We start from the raw sequence: 12,272 nt of genomic DNA, 5'->3' as shown, positions 1-12,272 counted from the left end.
CTTAAGGTTTTGCCCTCAGTTCTAAGCAACACCTTGGGATGAATCAGGAATACATCACATTTCCAAATACAGTAAAATTAATTATTACACATATTTTATCAGCCACATTTTGCTCGATTTCTGCAACCAAGAAATGGACTGAAAATTATGGCATTATTCATTTAATTACTCATAAGAATACCTGTGACATACATTCATATAACCATGAAGACCCTGTATGAAATTGATTCACCCAAGAACATCAGAAGTGTTCTTTTTTCCATTGCAACATAATGAATAAAAACAAATGTATTATAAGCAAGTCTGTCGATATGGAAGGAGGCAAAATAAAATAATGAAAACTCATTTTCATTTCTTTGCGATTATACCCTCCAGAGGTAACAGGAGGTGTAATCAAGAGAGTAATCAAGGTGACATATATTAATTCAGATATTTTACTATGAATTGTCATACTTCTTCCTGCAGCTATCCTTGATTCTCATTTACTGGAACTCAAACCCTCCCATGCTCAGATTAAAAATCTTTTAAGTCATTCTCAATTTCTCTCACATCCAAACTGGCCCATCAGCAAATCTTGTTGATTCTACCCTATATACATATCTGGAAACCATCCCAAGCCACCACCCTATTATGATTATTGTACCTTATTTGGATTATCAGAGTAGCCTCTCAAATGCTGTTCAGCTCCTCCCCTTTCCCACATCAGTCAGTTCTGAAAACAGCAACCCAAGAGATCTTGTTATAATGTAAAGCAGAACCTGCAACTTCTTTTCCTCAAAACCCCCAAGGAGTTTAGCATCTCACTCAAACTAAAAGCCAGCGTATGCTAATCAAGAACTTCAGGACCCTACATGATGTGATCCCCTTCCCATTGCCATTCCTTCTCTGCCTCCATGGCATTCTGGTCTTCCCTCTCTCAAGTACAATCCCAACAGCTCCCTTTCTGTTGCTGGAACACCAGACACAATCCCACCTTAGAGCTTTTGCCCTTGTGGTTCTCTAAGAATGCCCTCTACCAATTATCAGCATGGTTAGCATCCTCCAGGTCTCAATTCTCAAGTCACCATCACAAGGAAGCCTTCCCTGGACAATGTATCTAAAATTTCAATGTCCACTAATGTATCACAGCCCATTCCACACTCTCATTTATTCTTAGCATGCTTCATTACCTAATATATTATAGTATTGTTTAAATTTATTTGGTTTATTATGTCTCTGCCAGGAGAATGTAAGCTATGAGAGAAGCAATTTTGTTTTTCACTATTGTAGCTCTAGTTCCTAGGTTACATTCAATTTTTGAATATATAAGTAAATTTTTAAAAATAAACAAGATTTTTAAAATTTAACAATTATTTCAAGTCTATCTTTCCATGATATTGTATATAGAATTTATATGACTACATGTATTTCCATTATGTGGATATATCATTTTTATTTAACCATTTCCCTCTGATAAATGTTTATTTTCCATTTCTATTTGTTATTAGGAACAATAATAAACATACGTCTTTCTGCAATGTACAATTCTATGTTATTTTCCTCATGCTTAACAGAGTAAGAGCTAAAGTCCAAATGTACCGTGGGGTTTGCTTGTGATTAGGAAGAAAATGGCAGAGTTTACACCCCTTTTTTAGACCCCAGGTCTAGCACTTGTTTCCGTATTTGATGTATTTTACCATCACTGTTTTTTTGAGGGTGTCACTCTTTTGTCCATTTCATTTAAAAATGGATTTATTGCAGTCTTTATTGATTACTAGTGGTAAACAAAACTACAAAAATAGCCAGAAGAGAGAAAATAGAAGATCAACAATGAATCCATCAATGGCAAGCAAGAAGAAGGAAACTGATAGAAATAGGCCTTATAACTCAGGAAAGAATGAAAGGTAGTCAACACTTCATATAAATATGTAAGTACAGCAGATGTAAGAAGGAGACACAAACAGGGAGTGGCTATAAAATTAAAACAAGCAAATCAGAAAATGACTGTTGTTCTGGGAAGGGGAAAGTATCTGGACACTAATAAAGGTTGAATTATTAGGCTTTGTGTGCCTAACAAGGATATTCTCATCAAAGTGCAAGCATTCAGCTGGGTACAGTGGCTCACACCTGTAATCCCAGCACTTTGGGAAGCCAAGGCAGGCAGATCACTTGAGGTCAGGATTTGAGACCATCCTCGTCAATATGGTGAAACCCCATCTCTACTAAAATTACAAAAATTAGCCAGGCATGGTGTGCACATCTGTAATCCCAGCTACTCAGGAGGCTGAGGCAGGAGAATCGCTTGAACCCAGGAGGAGAAAATTCCCCCTCCAGCCCGGGCCACAGAGTGCACAGAGTGAGCCTTCCTCTCAAAAAAAAAAAAAAAAAAAGCAAGTATTCCACAGTTAACTAGGTGTTCCAAGGAAATCTTGATGATTATGTGAAGTTTGTGTCTACAAAGAGACATTATGATTTATCAAAGAGCACAAAATATTTGACTGGCCTAAATTCTGAATTTTCACTCTCATTTACCTTGAATGTGGAAGAAGTAAAGATTAGGGCTCAGCTCTCATGTGGTTTATAATTGAGAAATTCTACCTGTAATAGAGAAGACTTGTTTTCAATTATTCATGCCCTCCTTGCTTTAGAGTTATACATCTGCATCCTTTGCCATTTGTCTTTCCAGGTTCTCCTGCAATGGCAGGCATCCTTGCCCTCTCTGCCGCCCCAGTATTGGAGCTTGGCTATATAACTTGCAATTGCCAATGTAAAGTACGTGAGGGAGTGACAGTGCACCAGGTTTAGGTCAAGGGCTTAAGAGACATCATGTGAATCTGTCCATAAGCTTAAATTCCTGTGATCACCATGAGGAAAGCAAGCCCCAGAAAGGCACTAACTTTTCAAAATGGAACCCAGAATGAGACACATGGAGTAGACCTGAATTTGACTGACTTTGAAGCTGGAGCTGAGCTGAGCCTACCAGCTTAATTGTAGACCAATTAGCAATAAAAATAAATGCTGGGTGTTATAAGCCATGAGTTTGGGGATGATTGTTATACAGTATTGTTGCTGCAGTAGCTGACTATCTGAAAGACTTCTCTGGCTCTTACTCTCCATACCTATATGATAGTAGAGACAAATGCTATATAACTGGCCGATGTCAAATCTCAGTTTCATCACCTTCTGTCTGTGTGACCATGAATGAAATCTACCTGAGATTTGGCCTTTTCATTGTATAAGCTTGGAGTAGTAAAGTTACAGGGTGACTAAAATAAAAATCTATGAAAAACACTTGGTACAATGTAAATCTTCAGTAAATATTCATTGTTTTTGTTGCTGAAGGTGGCATTATTATTATTCCCACCATTGCTCAGGTTTCCACCACCCAAAGAGGGCTCAGTTCTTGGTGATGTTCCTATTCGTAGTTTTGACCTTTCTGAAAGGAATCATTCACACCAGCTCCCTTAACCTGATCTGCCCCCATCTCAAAAGTCTTCCTGAAATCTGGGCTTCAGAGCAGCATCCAAAAATATGTCCTACCAGGCTCTTGCCACCATCAATAGCTAGAAAAGGAAGGAATTCAGAAGGAGAAAAAAGAATAGCTATAACTTGACGTTTAGATCTAAACACAATACATTCCCAGATAAGCAACCTGCCTGCATTCAGATTTCTTAATTTTCAATTTCTATTTACCACTGAAACCCTGGCACACAGAGATACTCTTTCAGGAATCTCTAGAACTTCTATGAAACTGATTATCAACTAACCTAAGTCAGTTCACATACATGAGTGAATGAAGCTTTATCCAAGATGAAGGGTCCTGACTGGGTAAAAATAATTTCTGAGGAAATTTCTTTATCCCAAACAGTAGACGTTCAAACGAGCATGTGGCCATAAACATTATTGAATGCAACTTCCACATGGTACAGAGTAAAATGCAGAGTCTTGTGAGGTCAGATTGCTATATGGGGCTGTAAGTCTTCCTAACTCTGGCTCAGAGTCATTTTTACTGCTGCAATGCTCTCCATATGGAAAGTTATTTGCAGTGTTCTTCTTCTCCAACTGGAGGTCAGGTGCCCTAGAAAAAAAGAGGAAGACCCATTGGAAGATGTTTAGAGGACCTCTGGGACTCAGGGTCACACAACTCCGCTGAATTCTTAAATACACATTTGGAGAGATGCCTCTTTACTTGTTTTACTTCTCCAACTGTAAAGAAAATGCCAGTGAAAATTAATTCACATAAATGTTTTAAGAAACATAAATTGCCTTTGTAGAAACATCGAGCCTACAGAGACTCCTTAGAGGACAATAATGAGGAGTAAAACCTTTGGCTTTTGGCTGCATTATTTTGCATTTTAAAATTTGGCACACATTTCAGCCTTTTTATTATTATTATTATTAGTCCCTTAAGGAGCATTTTTCTACTTTTAAAGTTGTTCCCTCATTCCCTCCCTCAGCCCCTGAAACATTAACACCACATATATATTGCATATGTACTGAATTTATAGCTGTGATTTATATTTAAAAAATAGTCAGTTTTTATTTTCTCCCTCTCAAAAACAAGTGTTTACCCTCTTAGAGGTGATATAGCCCCCACTGAAGAGTCCTGCTATAAATAAAGTACAATGCAGGGGGCACACACTGAAACCATGTCAGGTAACAAGTATGAGCCAGTTGTAATATACACCTTATATTAGGGTTCCACAACCCCTGGGCCACGGACCACCGCCGCACAGCAGGAGATGAGTGGCGGGGTGAGCCAGTGAAGTTTCATCTCTATTTACAGCCACTTCCCATCGCTGGCATTACTGCCTGGCTCTGCCTCCTGTCAGATCATTGGCAACATTAGATTCTTATAGGAGCGTGAACCCTATTGTAAACTGCACATGTGAGGTGTCTAGATTGTGTGCTCCTTATGAGAATCTAATGCCTGATGATCTGTCACTGTCTATCACCCCAAAATGGGATAGTCTACTTGCAGGAAAACAAGCTCAGGGCTCCCACTGATTCTACATTATGGTGAGTAGTATAATCATATTGTTGCATATTATTATATAATAATAATAGAAATAAAGAAGTTGATAAATGTAATGTGCTTGAATCATCCTGAAACAATTCCCTGCACCCGAGTCCGTGGAAAAATTGTCTTCCACAAAACTGGTCCCTGGTGACAAAAACATTGGGGACTGCTGTATTATTTTGGAGTCCATTAAAAGCAATTTCTGAATAATTTGTGTGTACTATTATTTATAGTATAATAATCTATAAACTTTCCATAACTCATTAATGATTTTGTTGGTAGACTTCAAGCATAAGGATAAAATCTCTTCATCTCTAAAATGAGGTCAATCATGGGTAGTGATATTTGTCAACTTACCATAATTCAGTAATTTTCCAGAATGATCAAAATTGGGGGAATATTGAATGGCTTTACTTAGATAACTTTTATTCATCTTAATGAAGCTGTCTCATTAACCTGCAAGGTATAGAGACATTTGTCGGTTTGAGAGTACCCAGTATTTATTCATCTTTCTGATAACATCATCATTTCCTTGTGAAAAACTTTCTGCCTTATTGTGTGCAGGATAGGTGGAATGGTGAATGTAGATGGGTAATACGTATGCCTTGTTCTTTCTGCAGAAGCAAGAAAAGCTGAAATCTTCTCACTTCAAAGGAATGGCACATGACAGCACTTAGCCAATAAAGCATTCTCTTCTGGGACTTTGCAATGCAAGCAAATGAAACCAGGAACACATGGCATTTATTCACCCCAGGGAGCTGTCCAAAGCAGACTATTGCAGCTAGTCTGCAATGAGACCACTGCTGAGGAAACTACTTTCTAGCATTCTGGAGTTATCTCAATCTTTCCTCATTTCACAAGCCCACCTGTTACTTCTTTTAATTCCATTATCCCTCTGTTCCTTTCCAGCACCTTTTCTTTTTTTTATCTTTGCTTAAAATTTTTTTTAACTTTTTGCTTCTAAAAACCAAGAAATTTTAAGTTATCAGAAATTTGATAAAAGATGAGTGACCCAGTTACTTTGGTTAAGTCTCAGGAGAAGATTTTAAAGCAATTATGTCCAATAAGGCAACCACTAACCACATGGAACTATTTAAATTCAATTCAATTAAAATTAAATAAGACAAAAATTTAGTCTCTTGGTCACACTGGCTACAGTTCAAGTGGTCAATAGCTGCACGTAACTTATTGTTACTTTATTGGACAGCACAGACATAGAACATTCCCTTCATTGCAGAAAGTTCTGTTGGATAATTGCACTGTTCCGAAGTATCCAAGAGTCTATGACAGAAAATGAGAGGTATTATTAAGAAATCCTCAGGGAAAAATAAAAGTTGGCTTATGACAATGGACTCTGTTACTTCCCAGATTTACTAGCTATGATGAAATCTCTGGTATAAACAGGTATTTTGAGTCTAGCACAGTACCTGGTACATGGTAGTATGTAATTGCTATGCATTGAATTAATGTCTGCAGTATCAGATGCTACTAAAGCTGTGCGGATTAATAAATCTTCCTTCTGTGCTGTGTCTGGGCTGTTTTGTTATTTACTTTCCACAGGTTCCCTTGGAAGAAATTAAGCAAATAGATACTACTTCTTAGGTTTCTATTGTAGGAAAAATCTAGAAATGAGATTGCAAATATGAATGTTTTGGAAAACATGATGGTCACAGATAGCAATGTTCAGAGTATGTTCCACAGATGTTCAAAGGTGTTAATTTATTTTTAATAGATTGAGGATCTTGGAAAATAAATTAGGAAAATAAAGTTTATGTTAAACAAATGTAGCTGGATAATATTTCTTATATAGAAACCAATCTCTTTTTTTTTTTCTCCAGAGAGTTGGCTTGCTTCTCGAAACTACTTGCAATGCCTCAATTAAAGCCACTGTACTTTTCTATGTGCAGGGCCTTAGGGAGGGCTGTAATACAGGGGAAAGCAGAGAAAATAGCTGCCATCCTACATTTTGTTTCCAAAAGTCTCAGTCCTCAGAGGAAAAGACAGCACTGGAGGCAGAGACAAATGATTTGGGAGAAATATTAGTAGTGAGAGCAGTACTTACAATCTTCTCTCCACCCACAACCCAAAAAAGATTATTTTCTGGACTGGAGAAAAGAGAAGGAAAAAAAATAGAAATAAATTTCTAACACTTATGGTTTCTGGACAGTGGTACAGTCATTTGTGGTTTCTGGAAAGAGGAGTTCCGGGTCTCACCCTGGAAGGTGCAAACCCCATATAAAAAAATATATGTGTAGTTTGTGTAGTAGGTCTGTCTCAGCAGAGGAGGGCTGAGACAGCCTCGTGGAGAGCTCTCTGTCCCAGTGCAGGAAAACTGCATCAAAATGGTTCCTGTGCAGCCAGTAGTTTGTGTAGTAAGTCTGTCTCAGCAGAGGAGGGCTGAGACAGCCTCGTGGAGAGCTCTCTGTCCCAGTGCAGGAAAACTGCATCAAAATGGTTCCTGTGCAGCCACATTCAGCCTGGAATTGAAAGAGAGAACATGGGACTCAAAGGGGCAAAGCAGAAAGAAAAATTAATAAATATTGTTCAGCTGTTTACTTAGTTGTGACCTGCCTTGACAAAATATGCAGGGCAGCCAGATGAGATGAAGGGGATGTCAGAAGACATTCTGCATGGATATATTTCTAATAGAGCAAATATCTTTGCCCTTGGGGAAGAGAAGCCTCAAGCGAACAGAGCCCCATGTTGAGTGTTACTGTACAGCAAATGGTTTGGGAAAACATCACTTACTGCAAACTAGAACTAACAGACATTTGGCAGCTGCTGGAGTCAAGTGGTTCCCCTATCTTCTCAGCATCACATGGAGACTTGTGCTTGGGCGGCCACAGCTGGGCACATCATGAATCATGGTTCAGAGAGGGATCTTGCTCTTACTGCTGGTGCTTTTATGTAGGACTCCCACATGAGCAGCCTTGGGTGCTAGTTATTTAGGAAAGAATCATGACAGTGCTAGGGACCTGTCTCCTTGGAGCATCTTGGAATACAGAAAAACGCTTGTTCAATCAAAGTGTTATATTAAAAGATTAATAATAGTTACCTCTGGATGGCAGGTGGCACTAGAGTTTTCATCTTTCTATGCCTCTAAATTTTCCAAAATTTCCATAATAATTATGTATTCATTTCTTTTTGATCTTTATTTATTTAGCTGGCTGGCTATACATTACTTTCATAATGCAAAATGAACTTTACTTGAAACACTATCTACACCCTTAACAGTTTTGGAATTAAGACATTAATTAAGCAGCAGTTAACTAGGTCTGACATAATTAAATTTTAATTTTTGAATAATGATCCATTTACTACCAGGTCATATAATATTAATTATACTCAGTTCATTCACTTGTTTATTCAGCCATCCATTTCTCACTTAATTCTTTCAACTGATTATTTATTTTTGAAGAATGTTTCATGACAGAGGTCAGCAAACAATATAGTCCAAGGATCAACCTCAGTCTACTACCTAGGTTCCTATGGCTTGCCAGCCAACAATGGTTTCTAAATTTTCAAATGGTTGGGAAAAAAAATCAAAAGAAGAACATTTCATGACATGTGAAAATTAAATGAACTTCAAGTTGTATCCCAGGTCATAGTTTCCTCATTTCTAAAAGGAGGAGATTTGTCCAAAATATTATTTTGTTTTACTTTCTTGATTCATGTTTCAGAGAACATGAAGGCAGAAAATGCAGGTGAGAGATAGCACATGGTGGTTCTAGGGTTTGCTGTACTGTCTAGAATGGCGATGACTGCCCTGGCCACCTCAAGGGAAATAAAACACTCTATCATTAATTCTAAGCCTTACTCCCAAAATCATCTACTTCATGATTTGATATAACTGGAATATCCCTGGTTCGATATACCAAAATCAAATCAGGAGCTTAATTGATCCCAGAGCTTCAGGAAGCTGAGACAGGAGGATTGCTTAAGGCCAAGAGATTGACACCAGCCTGGCCAACACAGTGTGATCCCCTTCTCTACAAGAAAAAATTAATTTAATCAGACGTGGTGGTATACACCTGTAGTCCCAGCAACTCTGGAGGATGAGGCAAGGGAATTACTTGAGCTTGGGAATTCAAGGCTGCAGTGAGCTGTGACTGAGCCACTGCACACAAGCCAGGACAACAAAGTGAGATCCGACCTCTTAATATAAAAAAAAGCATAATCAAGGTTACATTTATAAATTTCAGGCATAGTGCTGCAAATCTTAACGAATTCACCTGGAACTGTTTTCTACCATAACTACACATATATTCAGTTCAGAACTTTAATTATCTGGAAACAGACCAGGCCAATAATCTTTAGGCAAATCCCCACTGTCAGACACTTAGAACAATGAGAATTTTCTAATGCCACCAGCTGCCTAATAAATTTCGAAGAGGTTTTTGATGTGTTTTAATGACTCAAATAGAGGCCTTAAGCACAAAGTTTGATAGTTTTTTTAGCTTCTTTCTGATTATATTATCTATAATAGTACTTTGGGGCACTGATAAAAAGAAATCTTGGTTGAAAATCAGGTGCTAGAAGAAATCTGACATACTGGTGGTGGATACAAGTTGGCACACTTACGTTTATCAGAGATATGTGTGGACGTATGCATTTAGATAGAAATATTCTACTACATAGGTCTGGTAAAAAAAAACACTTCAATACTTGTTCTTAGTGAAAAAGAGACATAGGTTTCATGGATAGCAAGCTGAATACATGTTCACTTTTCAAGTTCCTTGAATTATACTAGAGGGGAAGTATAATTCCCTTCCTTTCTCTTAACCTTAAATCCTTGCTTTTAATACAATGTGGGCTCCACCAGTGCAGTCAGACAAGGTCCAAGCTCAGAACCTTACAAGGGCCCCATACTTGGTTTAATGCCGTGTTTCCACCCTCCTGATAAGCTTAATAATTTGGGAGGAAATTACTAAGCATTTTACTTTTGCACTGGGCTCCACAGTCCTGGTCCCAACCCTCATGAAATGTAAGAATTAAGACTATTAATAGGAACTTAGTGTATACAATGTTAAGAGTTTATAAATCCATGTGCTGGTTATTCTCTATTTGACAGGGGAAATGCAAGAACTGTTTTTAAAACACTCCTTTAATCTCATTCTGATTCACCCTGACCTCTGCTCTAGGAGTCATACAGTTGGGGGAGGGAGGAATGAACATTAAAAATAAAATTTCAGAAACTACTGAATATACAGTTGGCATTTCTCATTCAGAATTATATTATGAACATTTCAGCACATATTTTTATGTTCTTTGAGAATATGATTTTTAATGTGTATGTAAATTTTTAATAGTGGAAGTAGAATTTACTTAATAACTTCCCTGTAGTTGGATACTTGTTTCCAGTATTTCCTGCTAGTAATATAAATATAGTTTGTCATGCATGTTTCCCTTTTATTTTTTAAATTAATACTCCTACAAGTGAAATTGCAGGGTAGTTTTATAAAATTTTAAGGACAGTTGATGAATATTGTCAAATTCAGAAAATCTATAATGATTTGTATTCCCATCAGATGGGTGTCACCTTTACCAACAATATTTTTAAGTGGTTAACAATTGATACATAAAAATGACTTTTTTTGTTTTGAGTTCATTTGAATAATATTAAAGTTAAGCATTTTATATGTATATTGGTCAGTTTCTTTCTCTATCTGCCTGTGTAATCTATCCATTTTTCTTTAGAGAAATTGGCATTTTCTTTTGTCTTGTATGAGCTTTTGTATAGGAATAACAAATTTTCTATCATATTTGTTTTAGGTTATCACTTCAGGAAATCATTTTAGGTAGTATGATGAGGCGTATATTATATATGAGATAGATAATCTCATATATATGATGAGATAGTGATTTATTTACAGTGGAAATATAAGAACTATTTTTAAACCACTTCTTATTAAACCTCCTCTCTTGCTTGATACTTTGTTGACTAAAGATTCTGAAAAAGCAAGAAGGGAAATATTAAATATCACAAACATGGCTCAGGAGGGAAAGAAATACTCATTTAAATAGAATGTGTTGTTTGGTTACAGTGTAGATATAGTTCTCGATTCATGAAGGGCCACTTCACTGCTGCACGTCACTCGCTCACATCAGACCATACTGCTTCCTGAACTTCCTTTCTCTTAACCTTAAATCCTTGCTTTCTAGTAGTGTTCAAAAGTTGTTAAATAAATTCAAAAGAATTAACCTCACTTAAAAATTCAGGTTGCAGGAATTATATTTAAATCTGTATAATTGCCTATATCCTCTAGCTCAAGCTACCGATCTTTTTTAAACTAGGGCATCACTAGATGCGGGATGGGAGTGCAGTGGGGATGGAATGTAAATCAGTGAAGAAAAGAATCACCAAGGTCCCATCTGCCCATTACCCTGCATTTCATGTTATGTACATACCCATGGGAGGTATTTAGAATGTACCATAAAATACAAAGTTAATGATTGGCCCCATAGGACAGTTATTCTAATTAATGACATGGTCTACTGATCCAGTCTGCACAACAGGGAGATCATATATGCATATGAAAAATATTACTGAAAAAAAAAATCGCCTTCTTTTTTCACTCACTTAAAGAGGAATGATGATTTAAAGCACCACAGTGGACCAAAAAAAAAAAAAAAAAAAGATTGATGTAGTCTATTTAATCACAAATAAAACCAAACTTTTGGGGAGGATGGGGGGTCTTGGGGGAAGAAGGGCATGAACAAAGAAGGCAGGATTTTACTTTTCCTAAATACTAGTCACATTGTTTGCCAAATAGGATAAGTCAGAGGCTCAGCAATATATCTAACACTTGGCAGAAAACAGAAAGATCTGAATCATTTCAAATACATTTACATTTCACCTATCTTTTCAGGGATAATTTGTATTTGTAATTAATTAACATAAGAGTGAAGAAATAATTATTTTGTTAATAAGAAACTTTCTTTTGATTCTTTGAGAATTAAGATTCCATGAGATAATACATAAATGGACATTCTGCAGTTAATGTTTTTTTCAATTTATAGTAGAAAACACAAGAGTTCACAGGCAATGATGCCTTTTCTTCTAATTAATATTGATAGGTAATTGATTGTGAGTTATCTTATAAAATGGAGCCATGGTAGCATGCAAAGTGTTCACAGAAAGCTAATAACTTTCTAAAATACCAGGCAATTCAGACACCCTGAAGTCTGAAATAATATGGGGAAATTATAGGATAATAGCATTTAGCAGCTGGTTGTGACCCTACCAATTATCTAGTCCAATCACCTCAAATAA

Source organism: Homo sapiens, chromosome 11 (genome assembly GCF_000001405.40).
Source record: "Homo sapiens chromosome 11, GRCh38.p14 Primary Assembly".
Classification (NCBI taxonomy): domain Eukaryota; kingdom Metazoa; phylum Chordata; class Mammalia; order Primates; family Hominidae; genus Homo; species Homo sapiens.
The sequence above is the reverse complement of the archived record's forward strand: the minus strand, read 5'-3'. Positions refer to the sequence as shown.